We start from the raw sequence: 22,134 nt of genomic DNA on the forward strand, positions 1-22,134 counted from the left end.
ATTATTGCTGTTGTTATTGTTATTATCTTAGAAGTGGAAGAGATTAATCTAGTCCTCTTATTTCAGTAACAAGAAGCAACTGTGCTTTTTTAATTTTCAATTTTGTAGTAACGTTCATTTAATAATTCAGTGTCCACCTGTGAAAGCCTTGCCTGAATATCCATGTGATTTCTTGCTCAGGAACTTGTCATATTCCCTGTTTGTTGCAGTCATTTTGACATTTCGTATTCTGCTTTGTGTGTGATACTTTGGTGACCTTATTTGTGAAATGGGAGAACTTGATTAAATAATCTCTTCTAGTTCTAAAATGATAATAATAACAATTATAACAAGAATAGCAACGACAACATTTATTGAGTACCTTGGATGTTCCAGGCACTATAAATTGCTTTGGACGTATTTTTACAACAGACTTGCAAAGTAGATGTTATCCCCACTTTATAAATGAGGTCTAGAGTCTAGAAGAGGGTAAAAATTAGTGTCATATAGTGAGTAGGTGGTGACGCCGGATTCAAATTGAGGTCAACTGGTTCAAGAGCCTTTTTCACTCTACACTGCTGTCCTTTCCCTTTACATATTTTTTATGGGTTTGTGTCAAGCTGCTTCTACCCACCTGCCCCGATAGATTATAAATTCTCTCAGTGCATGCCACTAAATTTCTTGAGTCAGCCCTCCATATCTTTGGGTTCCGCATCTGTAGATTCAACCAACTACAAATTGAAAATATTTGGAAAAAAGTTGCATCTAGGCCAGGCGTGGTGGCTCACGCCTGTAATCCCAGCACTTTGGGAGGCTGAGGCTCAGGATCACCTGAGGTCAGGAGTTCCAGTCTGGCCAACATGGCGAAACCCCTTCTCTACTAAAAATACAAAAATACAAAAATTAGCCGGGCATGGGGGCGTGTGCCTGTAATCCCAGCTACTGGACAGGCTGAGGAAGGAGAATCGTTTGAACCTTGGAGGCAGAGGTTTCAGTGAGCTGAGATTGCGACACTACACTCCAGCCTGGGCAACAGAGCGAGACTCTGTCTCAAAAAAGGAAAAAAAAAATTGCATCTATATTGAACATGTATAGACATTTTTTTTCATTATTCCCTAAGCAATATAGTATAACTATTTGTATTGTATTTAATTGTATTAGTTATTATGAGTAATCTAAAAATGATTTTAAAGTATATAGGAGGATGTGCATAGGTTATATGCAAATAGGGTACTATGCCATTTTATATGAGAGACTTGTGTATCCATGATTTTGGTATCCTGGAACCAATTCCCCACAGATACAGATGGATGCTGAAATTAGGAGACTCCATAATAGATTATTATGATGAGTCTGTTCTCACTCTTCCTTTTTTTTTTTTTTTTTTTTTTTTGAGATGAAACCTTGCTCTGTTGCCCAGGCTGGAGTGCAGTGGCGTGATCTTGGCTCACTGCAGCCTCCACCTCCCAGGCTGCCTCAGCCTGCCTAGCTGGGATTACAGGTGCCTGCCATCACGCCCGGCTAGTTTTTATATTTTTAGTAGAGACCAGGTTTCGCCATGTTGGCCAGGCTGGTCTCAAACTCCTGACCTCAGGTGATCCAACCGCCTCGGCCTCCCAAAGAGCTGGGATTACAGGTGTGAGCCACCGTGCCCAGCCACCATTCTCACTCTTCTAAGTTGCGGAAATCTTGCTTTCAAAATCCTATTTATATAATTAAATTTAATGTTGACTCACTCACGATCTTCCACTGGAAAAAAGTCCTTAAGAAAGTGAGAATATGAAGTTTTAACTACTTTGCACAAATAAGAAAACAGAGGAATTAGAAATACAGTAAGATAACAAATACGGAGTAGCTTGAAAAGGATTGAGCATCAGTCTGAAAAGTAATTTTTTTTTTTTTTTTGAGATGGAGTATCGTTCTGTCACCCAGGCTGGAGTGCGGTGGCGCGATCTCGGCTCACTGTAACTTCCACCTTCTGGGTTCAAGTGATTCTCCTGCCTCAGCCTCCTGAGTAGCTGGGATTATAAGCACCCGTCACCACGCCCAGCTAATTTTTGTGTTTTCAGTAGAGACGGGGTTTTGCCATGTTGGCCAGGCTGGTCTTGAACCCCTGACCTCAAGTGATCTGCCCCCCTCGGCCTCCCAGAGTGCTGGGATTACAGGCATGAGCCACTGCACCTGGCCAAAAATTGATTTATTTTAAATCCAGCATGGACATGATCTAGCAATATCAGGTTCTAATCAGACATAAAGTGAGAAAGAAAAAGTGGAAAGTAATCAACTTTTGAAAGTACTGATACCTTTTTTGTACTATTTTTACCAGTTAGGATTCTAAATATTATTGTATGTATGACATTATGTTAGGTATAAACACTTTATTCATATTGTCTGATAATATTTTCCATAAAGTTAATTATATCATGAATGAGCTTTTGAGTCTTCTACTTTTTGATAGCTGTAAAAACTTGGTTTAGATCCATCGACCTTTTTATTGCTTTTATTTCTAAGAATTGAAAGTGTTCCCTTTTATGTTAAGTATAACACATTCACTTTGTGAGTCTTTCTGCTAAATTCTGCGAAATGCAAGTCCCTATCTCCAGTGTGATTTAGTAATGTGAAATATGCCCAGCATTTTGAAACCCAGTAAGTGGCAAACTATGTGAGGAAGAAGGATCTGTGTTGGTAGCCATGCTCAGGATGGGGTTGCCAATGACAGTAGCTAGTGTTTATTATATGCTTACTATATGATAAGCATTGTGTTAAATGTTTTTTTTTGTGTCCATTGTTTTTGTTAATCTAAACGGCTCTGTGAGATAGATCTCCATTTTGCAGATGAGGAAACTGAGGAGGAGAGAGGTAATTTACTCAAGGACAGGGAACTTGTAAGTGTCAGAGCCAGTATTTGAATCTGGCACTCTGACTGTAGAGTCATAGTACTTGACTCTCATGTACCAGGCAAAATAGTCATTAGTCATCGCCATTTACCATCTAGGTCCAGTAGACCATAAAAGGATAGTGAAAAAACAACTGTATTAGAAATGTTAGTAAAGCTTAAACATAGCAAATACAAATTTTTATTTTAATTAATTAATTAATTTATTTATTTTTGAGATGGAGTCTTGCTGTGTCGCCCAGGCTGGAGTGCAGTGGTACCACCTTGGCTCACTGCAACCTCCACCTCCTGGGTTCAAGTGGTCCTCCTACCTCAGCCTCCCCAGTAGCTGGGATTACAGGCGTATGCCACTATGTCTGGCTAATTTTTGTATTTTTAGTAGAGACAGGGTTTTGCCATGTTGGCCAGGCTGGTCTCGAGCTTCTGACCTCAAGTGATCTGCCTGCGTTGGCCTCCCAAATTGCTGGGATTACAGGCATGAGCCACCACGCCCAGCCTAAATACAAGTGTTTATTCTGTATTTTCTTGGTTTTGAAGGTACATATATCTTCATATATCATCCTTTGAATGGGCATCATGGTTTGAATGAACTGCTCATCAGCCATCATGCATGAACCTAGAACATACTTGTCTTGTGTAGATCAGTTCTGTATTTCAAATACATTTCTAGTAGGCGCTAGCTGATTACTTCTGGTTCTTGTATTTGTCATCCTGTGTGTGTGTGTATGTGAAAATATGCATCACATAAAATTTACTATTCTAACTTTCTGGTGTACAGTTTAGTGGCATTAAGTATATTCACAGTGTTATGTAACTGTCACCACCATCCATATCCAGAATTTTTTCATCCTCCCAATTGCAATATTTTTGAAAACATTGAGAGCTCATAATTTTGTTGAAGATAGGATGGCCATCTTTCCTTCATAATTGCAAAACATTTATATTTTTAGATTTATAGGCACCATTTAGAATTAGTCCAATGATTTTTAAAATTTCTACATTATCCATTTCCTTTTATTCACATTTGTGTACACTTTAGCATTTTTCCATGTGTGAACTGCATCAACATCATAAAACATCAAAAAATACGTGACACATCTCTTTAGAAAACAGGTTATTGCAAAATTTTGTGTGAAGTCCTTTCTTGTTGAATAAGTAACTGAGTAAGAATGTCACTTTTTTGGTTTTAGAAATATATTGTTCACTCATTGACACTTTAAAAAATAATCTATTAAGGGGAAATTCACATAATATAAAACTAACCATTTTAAAGTGAACAGTTTAGTATCATTTTGTCCATTCGCAGTGTGCCATTACCACCTCAGTTTAGTTCCAGAACATTTCTGTCATTCCAAGGTAAAAAAATATCTTAGCAATTTAGCACTTTCTCCATTTTCCTCCCTTCCCCACCCACTGATAACCACCAGTCTGCATTCTGTCTCTATGGATTTATTGGATATTTCATATACATGGAATCACATAACATGTGAGCTTTTGTGCCTGGCTTCTTTTACATAGTGTGATGTTTTGAGGTTCAGCTAACTTGTAACATGTACCAGTAAGTAGTACTTCATTCCTTTTTATAGCTGAACAGTATTTCATATTACAATATTCCTATATGTGTTTATAGTAGAATTTGTTTATCCATTCATTTTTTGGTGGACATTTGGACTGTTTCCACCTTTTGGCTATTGTGAATAGTGATGGTGTAAACATGCATGTACATGAACTTATTTTGAGTATTTGTTTTCAGTTTTATGGGGCATATACCAATGAGTGGAGTTGCTGGATCGAGTGGTAATTCTATGTTTAACTTTTTGAGGAACTGCCAAACTGTTCCCAGCACTCATTGGTTCTTAAGTTTGAGAAAATTAATCTAGGGTATTATCATCTCAAGATACATAGTCTGAAATTTTGTTTATATCAGTGGTTCTCAATTGAGAGTGATTTTTGAGACAATCAAGAATGGCTTCAAACATTTATCCCCCGGGGACGTTTGGTAAAGCTTGGAGACATTTTTGATTGTCACAGCTGGATAGGTGCTGCTGTTGTCTAGTGGAGCTAGGGATGATGTTAAACATCCTATGATGCGCAAGACAGCCCCACGAACAACAAAAAATTATCTGGTCCTGAATATCAGTAGTACTGAAGTTAGTAAATCCTGGCTAATTTTATTGTCATCATTAGAGACTAGAGTGCTATAATCTGTCTCCTTCCCATTCATCTTTGATTTTGTAGTAATGTGAAACATTTTCTTTGTTGCTTTTTTTCCTTTTGCCATTATTAAAATGAAAAATTCTGATTTCTTAACTGTGCTAAATGAAAACTGAAAAAAAGACTACAGAGATGAAGTCTCTAGTGTTCTATATCTTTTTGAAAGATGGGTCAGTGCTTTCTACAACACAATAAAAATGGAAGGATGATGTAATAACTATAATTTTTTTCACTATTGCATTATTTTCCATATTCTTGTCATTTTAGTGTTTTTGGAATAGTTGATTAAGAAATGATGGACTACTAATGCCTCCTAGTATGATAAAATAGCAAATTTTCAGGGTATAAGAAAAATAACCACTAATATTCCATACTATTTGATAGATTTGTAATAATGTACAATTAACCTACACAGTAATGACATGATAGAATGAATTGTCTTATTTAAAAATATAAGTAAATTTTTATTTTATTCTTTTTTTTTTTTTTTTTTTGAGACCGAGTTTCACTCTTGTTGCCCAGGCTGGAGTGCAATGGCGCGTTCTCGGCTCATTGCAATCCACCTCTGGGGTTCAAGCGATTCTCCTGCCTCAGCCACCTGAGTAGCTGGGATTACAGGTGCCTGCCACCACGCCTGGCTAATTTTTTTGTATTTTTAGTAGACACAGTGTTTCACCATGTTAGCCAGGCTGGTCTCCAACTCCTGACCTCAGGTGATCCGCCCGCGTTGGCCTCCCAAAGTGCTGGGATTACAGGCGTGAGCCACTGCGCCCAGCCTGTTTTGTTCTTGGAAAGATGTCTGGAAAGACTAAAAGTTTTGAAATGTCTGTCTTCAAAGTTAGTGTTCATGAGAGAAACATACAGATAAAATTTGGATACAGGGTTAATCACTGTGCTCTGTAGCTCCCTGTAAGGGAGATCATTCTATACTCTCAGAAAAAGATTATTAAAAAACAGTTTTGATTTCTACTTCATTTTTATGAATTTTGATTCTTTTAAAGATTTTGGTATAAAGTTTTCCTCCTTAAATTATCAAAATAATTATATTTTATTTTGTTTACTTTTTTTAGGAGAGAAAGAAAAAATAAAATATACTTGGGGAAGTTGTACCTGCCAGAATTAGCAAGAGCTTTCTTTAAGAAGACATTTGTCAAACTCAACAAATTGAAGGTTAACACCTTAAGAGTTGTAGTTACTGACCAGGTAAGGTTTAAAAATGTATTTTACTTTTAATTATTATTTTACGGATGGATAGAGAGATAGTATGAAAATGTATTATTTTTAACAGATGTCAAATTATGAATGTGATTGATAACCAGATTTTGAAAAGTGGTGTGATTTAGAATATGTATCAATATACTTCATTACCAAATGTTAGTATTTTTATTAAACCTGGTTATCTCAGCTTAAAGTTTTAATTTGTTAAATATGTTTCCTCTTTGCTGTGATATCTAATTTTGCTACAGAAACAAATTTGACCTGCCAGATTTTCTTTCTCTCTGCTTCTTGCATCACTCATATATATTCACAGCATCTGGAGTCTGTGTAAAGTCATCAGAAACAACACAGAGGGATAGATAAACTGAACACAGCTGGGAATCAGTTTTGGCCTAGAATATATATATTCTAATGTATACTGTATGTTGTTTGTTTTTTCTGTTGGTTCTTTAAGTTTGTAAGGTTGAAATGGTCCAAAAGAAATTTTTTTCTTCTTTGGTAATATATTCTAGAGAATTGCTTTAATATTATAAAATATACAGGATTCCCCCCGCCCCGTTTTTAGCCTTTAAAAAGTGCTGTGTGTTGAATGCCATATTTGATTTGAGGAATTTCAATGAGTATTTGATGGAGATTTTATTTGTAAATGTTGCTATTAGGAGGATGAGTTAAGATCGTGAAGTGGAAATTTTGTCTGTATTACCACGTTTTCTTATATGCCTTTTCATTTTAAAAAAGGAATTTTTAAAATTGTGAGTCTTATAAACATGTTACATGAAACAAGCCAGATACGAAAAATATATGATTCCGTTTATGTAAAATTCAAAAGCAGCCAAACTAATCTGTGCTGTTGAAAGTTGAATTTTACCTTTGCAGGGTGGAATAGACTGGAAGCGGGGCTTGGGTGGCGTTTCTGAGGTGCCAATAATGTTCTGTTTCTTGAACTAGGTGATGGTTACATGGATGTGTTCACTTTTGAAGATTCCATGGCCATATCGTTTGTTTTCTTTTCTGTATGTGCACTTGAGTGAAGTTCTTTTCTGTATGTGGACTTGAATAAAGTTTGCGATATTAACATTGTTAAATTGTTACCAGGATTCAACAAAGGTGATTGGTGGGGGATAATATATAAGTACATTATTGAGTTTTAGTTTATATAGCAATTTGAACTCGTAAAACAACATGGACGAAGGATGAAATGAATCTTAGCATTTAATTTAGAATATAATTTGTAATAATACCATTTTCTTAAGCATACACTTAGGAAGAAGAGGAATTTCATTTAGGACATAGCGATTTTCAAGTAGAAAAAATTGCTTTGTTGTCATTTTTAAATTACTTAGTTGTACTGTTATTAACTTTTAAAATTTGATTACTTCTTTTTGTTATTTAAGGCCATATAAGTACACTTGATATTTCTTAACTTCTTCTGTGAGGTTTTCAAGCTTGTAAGAGTATCTTCTGTAGTTACTCTAAACGTTAAAACTAAATCAGATTGATATAGTAAATCCACTTTGTATTGGTTAACTCTGAAGTTATAATTGAGAAGCACAGTTGAATTTCCTTAGTGAAAAAGGTGTATATATCTCTACAACATCTGAAACAACACAAAATATCTGTGTAGGTTCTAGAACACTATCTTAATATGTTTAATGTTTATGCTATAGTATTTCTTTTAGTATAATGAGTTCAGTTTTTAAAAGCCTTTGATGCTAATTCAGAGATCCATAATCTGCTCACAATGTCTTTCACATGTAGTTTTGATGGTAACTGACAAGCTGTAAGTTAATTAGCACAGAACTTACTAATGAGGATGTTAAAATTTAATTTAAAAGTGAGGATTTTTATTTGTACACTCTGGACCAATTGAAGGAAATTCAATCATACATATGATAAGCATTTCAGGCACTTTTTCTACATTCAGGTACTTTATTAGATAACAATAAGAAAATATAATTAACTTAATGATAGCAAAGTTTTGAAAGTATGCTAAGATTGCTTGTCTTTAAAACTGGGGATAACCCAAAACCAAAGCAGTAAAATAAGGTCTGTTAATTAGCATGGAAGACAGCTTCTTGAATTAATATGTGGTGTTAATTAACAGGAAGTCTGATGTTGTGTTGTAATTACCACCAATATTTTTGACATACTGAGTGACTGAAGGTGAATTATATAGATAGCAATTGAATAAACATTTTTGTGCTTAGGAACGTTTTTTCTTTGTTTCTGTTTTCTAGAAATATGGACAGACTTCTTAGACTTGGAGGAGGTATGCCTGGACTGGGCCAGGTTAGTATATAGTCTCTTGAGCATTTCCTTGTGTGTAAACTACAAGCCTTTTTGTAGTTAGCCAAAGAGAAAGAAATTATCCCCAAGAAAATCACCTAACAGATAACTCTATGGTAAGAATCTTACCTTATTGATGTTTGTTATCTTGCAACACTAGATAACATGTGGAAAACATTTATTGTCTTAGTTTACTTTTCTCCTGGGAATAAGAATTTTCTGTTATTTGCTTTGTTTAAAATTTTGAGATATGTAGGATTATCAAAGTTGGCTTTTAGGAAAAAAAAACCCTCAAAATAGCTTACTTCCTGAATTTACAGTGTAAACTTTAGATGTAACACAAGAAAAAGTAAGCATGTCATCCTGCTTGCCAGATCCAGAAAACTGACCCATAGAATGTTTATATGTACAGTCTTAACACTGGTAAATTTCTGCTAGTAATTATGATATATAGATGGATTAATAAGTAATCTCTCTCCTTTAAATTTGGTATAAATGGTTTCTTTTATAATCTTTTTAAAAAATAAATAAGCTTTCAGTTGTTTTAATATTGTTTATCTTGTTCCATTTGCTGTTGGGCAAATGACCTCTAGATTTCTGCCTCAGGATAGTCTATCTGCTTTCAGATCAAGAATTTGTGCCTCTTGTGAGTTCGACACTTTCGATCTGTGCAGTCATACATTGAGTTAATACTAATTAACAAAAGAAATGACTATGTGTATTTCTCTTCCTAAGACTTTTATATATGCAATGTATTGTTTTATGACCAAATATTAGAAATATTTTTATAGTCCCTTTTAAAATCTCTTTAGTTTCCAGCTTTCCCACATTTCCTTACTGCTATCAGTGACTTCATCTTTCTTCAAAGTAATCTGTGTTTACTATAAGAAGCAGTTTTTGTTTCAGACTTCATGAAATTTTCAGTGTTTTAGAAGAACTTTCATAAGAACTGTTTGATTAGGTCTATCATGGTTTATGACTTTTATAAAGTTGAAATCTTTTTGTGATTCTGTATTGCATTCTTGGATGGATTTCAGTTGTTTTTCGTTTACTTTTGTTAGTTTTGATGATTTCTCATGTTTCTTTGTTGTCAGCCTATTTCTTCATGATTCTTCATTTTTATAACACCTGTATAACTCATTCTCTCAAGAGGCCTAAGCCTCTTTGAACTTGATCCTGAACCTGTTTCCATTCTTTTGTAAACATTCTAGAGAGCTTCTAGAATTTCTCTAATTTATTCTGAAATTAGTAGTAATAGTGTTCAGGCATGTGAAAATGTGAGAAGTGAGCAGAGGTGGTATGTAGATAGTGCAGATTTACCTGCAAATTATAGGTGAAGATGTTGCCTTAGAATTCTTAAGGAAAGTTGTATCAAATTTAAATATAAAAATAACTTTCCTTAAGCATAGATACAATAAATTACCCATCTTGGAAATCCATGCTGGAAAACCCCTGGACATGAAATAATGGTTTTACTGACCACAAATTGAGCTACATTATATGTCAATGGCGACTTCAAAGCTTTATATCAAGTGAAAAACTTAATGTTTTTTCAGTAACCTTATTGGTTTCTGATTAATCAGCCATTGTGTCCTTAGTTTGTACTCTTTTTTGAAGTTAAAAATCTGCTTAAGAATCATTTCATCTCAATTAGATGATAAACTCTAATTTGTGGAACTCTTATTTTTATGGTATCTCCCTTATCCTATACTAGGTGTAATTTTCTTTTTCTCTAAAATTTTATTTTATCTTGTTATAGGAATAATTTGACAAATACTTATGATGTTACTTTTGTAACATGAAACGTTAAGTGTATTTTTTTGCCTAATAAGAATGTTGTTTATTATTTATTTATTTATTATAATTTTTTTTTGAGATGGAGTCTCACTCTGTCGCCCAGGCTGGAATGCAATGGCATGATCTCGGTTCACTGTACCCTCTGCCTCCTGGGTTCAAGTGATTCTTCTGCCTCAGCCTCCCAAGTAGCTGGGATTACAGGCGTTCACCACCACGCCCAGCCGATTTTTGAATTTATAGTAGAGACTATGTTTCACCATGTTGGCCATGCTGGTCTTGAACTCCTGACCTCAAGTGATCCACCTGCCTCGGCCTCCCAAAGTGCTGGGATTACAGGCGTGAGCCACTGTGCCCAGACTATTATTTATTTTTAATAAGAAGTCAAAGATCTTTGGATTGATAATAGCTATCTTTTCATTAGATAAGGCATAGGCACCAATAGTAGTAAAAAAGGAGACACAAATTGGCCCTTCTCTCCAAAAATCAGTGGGAAATGTTATCTTACCATTTAATGGAAAAGGCAGAATTCCCTCCCAAATAGGAGCAGGTCACTTGCTGGTAAGTTTGTAGATGGCCCTCTTAAAATGTGGCAGTAGACAGGAGCAGAACAGGTAAAGGCCTCATATGATTGAGAGTTCCTTAAGGTTATTTTATTTCCTTGATTGAAGAACAAGAACCATGGACATTTTATGAGTGAATAGGCCACCTTAAATCATGATCTATACGAATAACCCAATTTTGATGAACGAAATGTCCAAGACATATTTTTTTTTATATCAGTGTCCAAACAGTTGCTACTTTACTGGCTTGAAGACATTTTGTTTCACTCCCAATTGACACAAACCTGGCGGTTACTGTCAGACTCTGCAAGTTAAAGGCTCACTTCTCCACAGAACTACCCTTACTTCAGATGCCAGCTATACTTCATGTGTCCCCAAGCCATCCACACTTTGGACTGACACTTTAACCTGAGTATAAATTTGGAGGTCCTCACAACCTCCTCAGGTTTGATAATTCACTAGAACAACTGACAAAACTCAAGAAAGTGCTGTGCTTATTATTACAATTTTGTTATCCAGAAATACAGATTAGGAGGACCAGTGAAATGAAGACACACAGGATGGGGTCTGGGAGGAGATGCAGAGCTCCTGTGCCCTCTCTTCATGGAATTAGGGCATGTCACCCTCCCTGCACATCAGTGAGTTTACCAGCCAGGGAACTCCACCTGGTGTAGCTTTGGTTTCCGAGTTTTTATTGGGACTCGGCATACATGAGCTTGATTGATTAAATCATTGGGTGATCAAACTCAAAATTCAAATCTCCATCCTCCCTTCCCAAATGGGCCTGGCTCAAAGTCTTAGCCCTCTAATTACCGTGTTGGTCTTTATGTTGATCAGCCCTCATCTGCAAGCTATCTAGGGGTGTGCACTAAGTCACAGTGTTAGCATAACAAAAGAAACTCCAAGGGTTTTTGAGGCTCTGTGCCAGAAACTCAGGATAAAGACCAGATTATTACGCAACAAAGACTTGTTTTCAGCCTTGACTTCATTATTTGTAGAAACAATTCAGTATTTCATTTGAATTTTTCTTGTACTATGATACTGATTTTTATGTTGTTTCCAAGAGACATGACCCCACCTTGAGTCCCAGTGCCTTTAATATAACCCAGTAGTAGTAAAAAGGTCTTTGGGCTTTGCTCTATATGCTAATTGGTCATGTTATTGTTATTATTATTATTTTGAGTCAGAGACTTGCTTTGTTGCCCAGTCTGGAGTACAGTGGTATGATCTCAGCTCACTGCAGTCTCGCCCTCCTGGATTCAAGTGATTCTCCTGCCTCAGCCTCGCAAGTAGCTGGGATTACAGGCATGAGCCTCCACGCCCAGCTAATTTTTTTATTTTTAGTAGAGGTGGGGTTTCACCAAGTTGGCCGGGCTGGTCTTGAACTCCTGACCTCAAGTGATCTGCCCACTGCAGCCTCCCAAAGTGCTTGGATTACAGATGTGAACCATTGCGCCCGGCCTGGTCATGTTTTTTTAATGGAGGAATTCACAGTAATAATATAGGAATATCAGTATTATAATCACAGTTGATACTGATATTTCATTGTTTTTGAGGCCACTTGGTCTTAGTTGTTTTATTTGGGAGTTGTAGTAGGGCTAGTAGGTAAAAAAGGAACTTGTAAATAATCAAAGTCCCCATTCATTCTAGTTTCTTAATTTTCTCTAAATAGGAGGTGACTTTTCTCTTTTCCAAGGCTATTCCTTCCTTGTTCTTGGATCTCGTTCTCTTGACACACTGCAGATCTCCATTGACCCCTTTCTCTGCCTACAAAGATGTTTAAGTCTCCTGTATCCAAAAACCAAAACTCTACTGCATACTGCCATTAAACCTTTTCTTCTATTTATTTCTAGAATTCCTGAAATAATAGCTTAAACTCCATAATCTACTTAATTACCTCTGTTCACTCACATGAGAATGCATTCTGGCCAACTCCTGTATTACTGTACTGGAATTTTTTAAACTGCCAAGTCTATTGGCCTATTTTTAGTTCTCTTTTAACTAAACTTCAATATTCCACACTTACTATCTTAAACCTTTCTTTTCCATTAGTTTTTATCATGCTGTCTTTTCCTGTTTCTCATTACGGTGTCCATTCCTACAAAACAACTAAGTTTTATTTTTTTTAATATCACATTTTAAAATGTTAATATTGGCCAGGCCTGGTGGCTCATGCCTGCAATCTCAGCCCTTTGGGAGACCGAGGGGGCAGATGACATAAGGCTAGGAGTTCAGGACCAGCCTGGCCAACATGGGGAAACCCCATCTCTACTAAAAGTACAAAAATCACCTGGGTGTCGTGGTGCACATCTGTAATCCCAGCTACTCAGGAGGCTGAAGCAGGAGAATCACTTGAACCCAGGAGGTGGAGGTTGCAGTGAGCCAAGGTAGTACCACTGCACTCCAGCCTGGGTGACAGAGTGAGACTATGTCTCAAAAAAAAAAAAAGTTAATATTTGAATAGTGATAGGCTACAATAATTAAATTTGTCCTCAGTCCTCCACTTCAGTTTAACTTACCAGTAGTTTGAAGCAGAAATAAAGATGTTTTATTAGTACTATTAAAATTTATAAGGTAACAGCTTTAAATTTTAAATGTATTTTTAGATTTTCTTTGTTAAAATGCTTACAAACTTGAAATTACTAAAAGGTATGAGATTATTGTATTAAAAACATATGTTGCCATAATTTGGCTACTTCGTTGTCTTTATAACAACTCCACCTAGGTCTTGGCATCTAAACGATTTCCAAAAGCAGTGGAAACAGAGCCCAAGAGATGAGAATAGCCAAAGCATATTCTGTACTTTTTAAAAATTTTGATTTCTCCCTGGGTTCATTTTAGCTTTGGAAATAGTCAATATAAGCTTGAAAGTAGATGGAACTTAAGCAAAATGTCAGTGGCATTTAGTAACTTGTCTTCAGTTTTAATTTGTTAAGTCAATATTTTGAGTTTCTGTGTATCAGGTATTATATACTATAACGAATTCCAAGACGAACAAGAATATCAATGCCTAATCCAGAGCCTTACATTATAATAGACACACAAGCAATCATGTTTTAAGTGCCTAGTACACATTAACTACTTTGAATCAGTGAAAGCTAATGCTCATTGTAAATAACGTGATTTGTAAGTACAGTGGAGGTTAGTTTAACTTCTTTTGGGAAAAATTAGACCAACTTGGGAAAAATGGGAAAAATGAGACTAAGGAGATGATGTTTGAGCTGAGTTTTGAAATATGTGTCAAGGCATATTCAAAAGGCTAGAGAATAGATACATAAGAAAATACTGGGAAAAGAAGTTGGTAAAGGAGTCTGAAGTTGGTTATGAAAGGTGTTGAATGCCATACTTGGTGATTTTTACTTTTTTCCCCTAGGTGTTGTAGTTTCATGAAGATTTTCTTTCTTTCTTTTTTTTTTTTTTGAAGTATGAAGATTTTTTTTTTCTTTCCAGTAGACTTGTGAGGTAATTTGATCTGTGTTTTTGAAAAGTAATTCTAGTGGTAGTTTGGAGAACAGGTAAAGGGGAAGAGATTAAAGGCAAAGTCATCAATTACATGAATATTTGTGACTTTCAACCTTCCAGGCATATAACAGGATTATATTTTTCTGTCATCTTTGAAGTTAGCCTTGCCATGATTTTGCTTTGACCAATGGAATGTGATTGGTTAATAGGTCACTTTTAGGTGAAAGCTTTAAGAATCAGTGTGTGATTTGTCTGCCCTGGTAATAAACAACATCATGATGATTGAGCCTCTTTTAGCCAGGTCCATTATTGAGAATGACATACAACCTGCAAGTTTTAAAGCAAAGTTAGAAATCACATGATTTCACACTGTGAAATTCTGTGTAAAATTAGGGTATTTTACACAGAAATCACATGATTTCACAATGTGTAGGCCAAACTAAGGACATATGCAGCAGGGTATATAATGCCTGTAAGTTGTCACTTTGTATCTCTGGTACAGACCTCATTAATTTCAGGATGCAAAAATAAGGGAAAAATACTGTGGGTTAGTGATCCCAGAAGGCTTCCTGAATGTGGTGAGATATAGTGTACATTTTGAAGAATTATTTCCGGTGGCTAGATAAAAAAAAATTCATGAATTGAATAGGATGTATTTTGTTATAACTCCCAAATCCTCACAGTGTATGGATTTTTTGTATATTCACTAATAACTTTTTCTGGTTTCTTATTGTGGTGGTTGGGACAGAAATGTTGTTTCAATTGTTTGTCTCAGGTTTTGGTCTAATGTTTGGTAGAGAAGTTTAATTTAACATAGCAATGGAAAAAATGACTGGAATAAATGAAAAAATAATACTGTTTTCATGGATGAGGACTCTATATCACCACATGCCAATTCTTTCCAATTAATCATACATTCAACCCAGTTTCAATAAAAATATCAACCAGAATGTTCATGGAAATAGGCAAACTGACTCTAGAATTCATATAGGAAAAAATAGTTCAAGAATAGCAAAGAAATTCCTAAAAAGGAAAAAGAAATTTGCTCTACCAGATTTCGAAACATATTTTAATGCTATATGACTGAAGTAGTAATATATTGTTGCAGAGATAATCAGGTAGACCAGTATAATCAAAAACCCAGAAATACATCCATCAATATATGGGAACTTGGTTTGTAATATAAGTGACATTAAAACAGTGGAGAAGGAGAGGCCTGTTCATTAGATGATGCTGAAGCAGTGGTAGCCAGTAAGGGGGAAAACTAAAATTAGATTCCTGCCTTATTCTATACAAAAAAAAATTTGTACCAAATGGATTGAATATCTAAATATGAAATCAAACTTTATAATTTTTTTTGTTTTTTAAGATGGAGTCTTGCTCTGTCACCCAGGCTAGAGTGCAGTGGCATGATCTTGGCTCATTGCAACCTCCACCTCCTGGACTCAAGAGATTCTTCTGCCTCAGCCTCCTGAGTATCACAGGTGCCCACCACCACGCCCGGCTAATTTTTGTAGTTTTAGTAGAGACAGGGTTTCACCATGTTGGCCGGGCTGGTCTCGAACTTCTGACCTCAATTGATCCGCCCACCTCGGCCTCCGAAAGTGCTGGGATTATAGGCAAGAGCCACCATGCCCAGTCCAAACTTCATAATTTTTGCAGGTACACCCATTTGAATGGCTATTATCCAAATTAAACAACAACAACAACAACAAAATAAGTATTGGTGAGGATTGGAGAAATTAGAACTCTTGTACATTGATGGTAGAAATGTAAAATGGTACAGATAATATGGAAAACATTATTATTCCTTAAATGATTAAACATAGGATTACCGTATAATCCAGCAATTCAGCTTCTGGGTATGTGCCCAAAATAATTGAAAGCAGAGACTCCAACAGATGTTTGTACACCAATATTCTTAGCAGCATTATTTATAATAGCCAAGGGGTGGAAACAACTCAGATGTCCCTCAACAAATGAATGGATAAATAAAATGCATATACACTCATTCCTTAGTATCCTCGGGGGATTGATTCTCGGACCTCTGATGATACCAAAATCTATGGCTGCTCAAGTCCCTTAGATAAAATGGCATAGTATTTGCGCATAACCTAGACACAGTCTCTCGCATACATTAAACCATCTATAAATTACTTATAATGCTTAATACAGTGTAAATGCTATGTAAATATATATAAAACATTTTTATTTTTTATTGTTGTATTGTTATTTTTTATTGTTTTTTCCCTCCGATATTTTCTATCTATGGTTGGTTGAATCTGTGGATGAGAAACCTGTTGATATGGAGGGCTGATTGTACATACAATGGAATATTATTAAACTTTAAAGGAATGAAATTCTGACATATGCTACAACATGAGTGAACCTAAAAGATATTTTGCTAAGTAAAATAAGCCAGACACAAAAGACAAATGTTATATGATTCCACTTACATGAGGTACCTAGAGTATCAGATTCATAATGATAGAAAGCAGAATGGTAGTTGCCAGGAGCTGGGAAGAGGAGAGAATAGGGAGTTATTGTTTAATGGGTACGGAGTTTCAGTTTAGGATGATGAAAAAAGTTCTGGAACTGGTGTTGGAGATGGTGGTATTGGTTGTGCGACAGTGTTAATGTGCCTAATGCCACTGAATTGTTACTTAAAAACAGTTAAAGTGGCAAATTTTATATATTTACTACAAAAAAGACATTTAAAAGTTCAGTTACCGTATCTTTAAAATAAGGTTGATAATACCAACCAGATGGTTCTTTATAAGGATTAAATAAACTCACATGTGAACTAGTCAGGTGCATAGCAGATACCCTTCCCCAATCCCCCCATTTTTTGGGGCAGAAATTTTTATGTCTTTATGACCTCAAGATAGGAAAGCACAACTCAAAAGATTCATAATTTGACTACCTCAAGACAATATTACTAATTATTATCCCCAAAAGACTACAGAAACAAACTTATAAGACAAGCAAAGATGAAGACAGGATACTGGCAACACATTAATCTGCAACACCACGTAGTTCATTCAGCAGAACCATAGATAAGTAAGACAAAAAGATGACCTCATTTAACAAAAGAATGTGAAATAAGAATGGCCAAAAAAAGTTATGAAAAGATAGTCAGTGTCACTGTATATCAGGGAAATGAAAACTAAAACAACTATTAGATTAGTTAAAAAACAAACAAACCTGTGGAATTAAGTGTTAATGAAAATTGGGGAAGCAGGAATTCTCATGTAAGCTGTGTGTGTGTGTGTGTGTGTGTGTGTGTGTGTGTGTGAGATGTTGGTTAGGAATTATAGCTCAGTGCTTAGATCTTTACCCGGCAAATAACAGACAATAAATATATGTTAAATGGACACACCATATGTGGTAAATGGTTAAAGTCACTTCGGAGAGCAATTTGACAATATCTAGTAAAGTTGAAAATGACCAAAATTCTGTTACTAAACAATTCCATTTATTCACTTTAGGGAAACTTTTATATGTCTATATCAGGAGACATGTTGAAGAATATTGTTAAAGCATTGTTTGTATATTAAAAATTGCAAAATATTTAAATGTCTAAATGTGTTATGATGAAATTAATGCAGCAGCTAAAATGAATGAACTAGGTTCTATATACCAATATGCATAATAGACCTTACAAACATAGTAAGAGAAAAATTCAGTTGTAAAAAGATACATACAACATGGAAGCATGTAAATTTAAAAAACATAAAGTAACACCTTTTTTTAGAGTTATATAACTCCTGAGTAAAAATATTACAAGTTGTTCTACAGAAGCAGTATCTAGTACAACTTTCTACAGTGATGGAAGTGTCCATATCTGCACCATTCAATACGGTAGCCACTAGTCACATGTTTGTTAAGTACTGGAAATGTGACTGGAGCAGCTGGAGAACTGAATTCTAAGTGTTATATTACTTAAATTTAAAGAGTCACATGTACCTGTTGAGTCCATGAGATGTATCTTGTCTAACTGAATAACTGAATTTCTAATTTTATTTAAATTTATATGGTTATATCTAGCTAGTGGCTACCATATTGTACAGCGCAGGTCTAGATAACTCACAACAAATTCATGAAAAAAGGAGGGAGGCAAAAGGAACTTCAACTTTATAATGTTCTCTCTTTAGTACACAAACATAAAACTAAAGCAAAAGAACAAGTCATGGAATAACACTAAATAACATTAAATAACATTAAATAACATTTTTCTTTAGTACTTTTTAGAAGAGCCACCAAATAAAGTCAGAAATTCATTTGAATTTATTTTTTAGTAGTTTTTTAATGCCTTACCTAGGTATTCCATTTTCTCTCCCAGTCTTTAATTTGAAGGCGATAATACTAGAGAGGTTACCACAGTATAGATCTTGCAGGGCCCTGTAGAAAATTCTCTTCTGAGTGAGTTGGGAAGCTATTAGAGATGCTGAGCAAAGGAGTTATGCTTATCAGACTTACATTTTTAAAGAACTTGGACACTCTGAAGATGAAGCTACCACAATAATGTTTTAAAATAAATTACAGATTATTGTTCTATTTTTATTCTATATCTGCTAGAGCAATCCTGCCATGTAATGAACCATCATAGATCATTGTGTACAATTAGTCTTTTTTTATATCTGTCACATCTGTCATAAATACAAGCTTTAATTTTTGCTATAAGCACTGGCATAGTAGTATGCAAATGAGCAGACCTTTACAAAATGTTTTCATAGGTTTTCTTTATATTCTTTGAATTATTTAGCTTAGCTGTATTGACAGTATTTATATGCTCATGAATATTCTGGTTACCTTTTTTTTCTTTGAGTATCTGATGTAATCCTTTATACATTTATGAAGGTCCTTTCTAAACATTAGTAGATTAATTTGGGCATTTTCTCTTAAGAAGTAGAGAAGGGTCGAAAAATTTTAATTGTTTTATTTCTTAGCTTAACTACAAATAATGGTGATTTTGCTTTAGAAACAAAGCAGAATTACAAGATGCCTTTAACGTTTTTCTTATTTGCTGCTCTTGTGAGGTTATAATTTTATTAAATATAGGTCCTAATCATTCTATTCATATACTCTGATATTTATACGATAGAAAATTAAGAAAGGGGTCAGGTCAAAAGCAAGCTAATTAGAGCATATTCTTTCTAGTCGTCATTGTAGTGTGATTATTCTGAATACGTATTAAACTCTGTGAAAAATAGGGTGTTCCTGAGAGGCCTCAAATCTAGTCTTGAGGGTTCTCAGATAAGTAAAAGGGACATAAATTTTCCATAGGTACATGATAGTTAACCTGTGTCAGTTTGTTTGAATATTTTAATTGTGATAGGTCTTTTGAGAGGAAAGGTCTTTGACACCTGTGAATGCTAAATTTCTATTTTGATATGCAATTATGATAAATAAATTTGTTCAAGTTCTTAGAATGGAAGGGGATTGGTGATAAATTTTCAGTTACAGTGAAACTGTCCTTCAAATTAGTGACATTCTGATGAAATAAGAAAAAATAAAAATTGTGAAAAGTAATGAAATGTTTAAAGTTTTAAATATAAAGTCAAGGATATGATGGATTTATGACATCTGATACCATTTTTGGTAGAAAGTATATGGGAAAGAAGACAGAAGAAGATATCTCTGTCTAATATGGGAAATTAAGACATTGCAACATAATCTCAATATTCCAAATGTATGGGACGTTATGATCAAAGATACAATCTGTGTTTTCTTTCCCTACCTTCAACATTGTTTTACACATTTGATTTACTGGTTACATTGCTATTTGGCACATTGATCTTCGGGTTTCCTATCTTAAACTTGCATAATTTAATTTGTAATTTTTCAGTTCATGTTATCATTTGGGAAGTTCTCTAATTATCAGATTCATTTAAAACCCAAGCAGGTAGGACTGATTCTCTTACAACACAGACTCAAGGTGGTTCTCTGTGGGATGTTGTCTGGGTTGAGTGCCCTGAAAGTATGCCACCAGAGCAGGGCAGTGGTCTCCACTGGGCAGCCTCTCAGTGCTGCTTTTTAAGCTGTTGCCCGTGATTGCACAGGCTCTTCCCTTCAGCAGACTGAATGCCTGTGAAGGGCATAATGGCTTAGGGACAATAGAGTAAATAATAAAAATAATAAAAATTATGATAGTTGTACTTTTCTCTTACTCATTGTACATTTTCCCCTCTTTTTACTCAGTTACATTCTTACCTGCCTGTGGTAATTTTCTATTCCCTAGTGTTGTAAACGGAGCCTGAGTTATTAGAAGGAAAATGCTTATCAAAAGTAGACAGTAGAATGACAAAACCTAGTTTTTGAAAAGTTCACCATTCTGTTTTATAGAAAAGGAAAACTTTCACTTCATAGGAAACAACATATTTCACTACCTAGTAGAATACATTTTTGTTGTCATTGTATAGCTATATCACTATAGGGAGATGATTTTGATTTTGCTTTAATTTGTACCTGGTTTCACGGTTTCTGGTTATTTCTCTCCCATTTGTGATTTCTGGTTATTGTATTCATTTCCTGATTTCTACTGTATAGACTAGATGATGTCTTTGGAATTTTTTTTTTTTTTTTATTTTTAAGACGGAGTCTCACTCTGTTGCTCGGGCTAGAGTGCGGTGGTGCGATCTCGGCTCAGTGCAACCTCCGCCTCCCAGGTTCAAGCGGTTCTCCTGCCTCAGCCTCCTGAGTAGCTGGGACTACAGGCACATGCCACCAGGGCTAATTTTTTGTATTTTTAGTAGAGACGGGGTTTCACCATGCTGACCAGGCTGGTCTCGAACTCCTGACCTGGTGATCTGCCTGCCTCGGCCTACCAAAGTGCTGGGATTACAGGCGTGAGCCACCGCGCCTGGCCTCTTTGGATATTTTATAGCTCAGCCATTCTATAAGGCTTTTGCCTTGGGAGCTTTCAACTTGAAATGGTATGAAAATTGTAGTAATATAGGGAGACAGTCAGATACTGTGAATAGGGAATGTCATTGTAACATCTAGAACAAATGTATGGATCTATAAAGAGAACCCACATATTTTGAAATGTGTATTAAAATTTTCCTCTGGAATTTAAAAAAAATGGGGTGGGGGAGCAGAGGAGAGCCAAAAGGACTGATGCTGAGTACCTTCCTTATTCTGATATGAAGTATTTATGCACTTAATTTTTTAATCCTCACAATGATCCTACATGGGTAGGGATAATTATTTTCATATTATAGGGTCGAGTCACAGAACTAACAAGAAGTGGAGCTAGAGCTGGAACACAACTTTTTCTGATGTCCCAGCCTATTTATATCAACATTTCTTTAGGTAGATAAAATGAATAGAGTTGTCATGGCTACTTGTTTCATAAATTAATACAACTTAAATAGTCTTGTAATTTTTATTGTAGATCGAAAGTAAGATGCTTGCTTTTTAAAATTTTTGGGAAATTAAAATATTTAGGAGGGATTTTCTTTATCCTGACATGTAATACTTGGCCCATGTTTTAAGACTATTTAAGGAATTTGTGAATATTTCATTTTATTCCCTATGATAATGTGAATCTTCACACATTGGTAAAGGTAGAGGTTACAAATAGTACAACTTTTAAAAGAAGGTTTACATTTCTTACTTTTTTACGTCTTTAAAACGTTTTCCTTACAGTCCAGAAACTGATTAGTGCTTCTAATTGCCAAAATATGTTGTTTTATTTAAAAAAATTATTTTGGGAAAAAG

At 35.2% G+C, this 22,134-nt stretch overlaps 1 protein-coding gene across 1 annotated transcript in view; it reads left to right on the forward strand.

Annotated features, from left to right (window-relative positions):
* PSMD14 (proteasome 26S subunit, non-ATPase 14) overlaps positions 1-22,134 on the forward strand; it is a 103,293-nt gene that overhangs the window by 1,853 nt on the left and 79,306 nt on the right. Inside the window, exons 2-3 of the mRNA NM_005805.6 lie at positions 6,160-6,292; positions 8,545-8,596. Coding sequence (NP_005796.1) covers positions 8,549-8,596 — 48 coding nt within the window. The 5' untranslated portion in view covers positions 6,160-6,292; positions 8,545-8,548. The remainder of the gene's footprint in view (positions 1-6,159; positions 6,293-8,544; positions 8,597-22,134) is intronic.

This window comes from Homo sapiens, chromosome 2, assembly GCF_000001405.40.
Source record: "Homo sapiens chromosome 2, GRCh38.p14 Primary Assembly".
Taxonomy (NCBI): domain Eukaryota; kingdom Metazoa; phylum Chordata; class Mammalia; order Primates; family Hominidae; genus Homo; species Homo sapiens.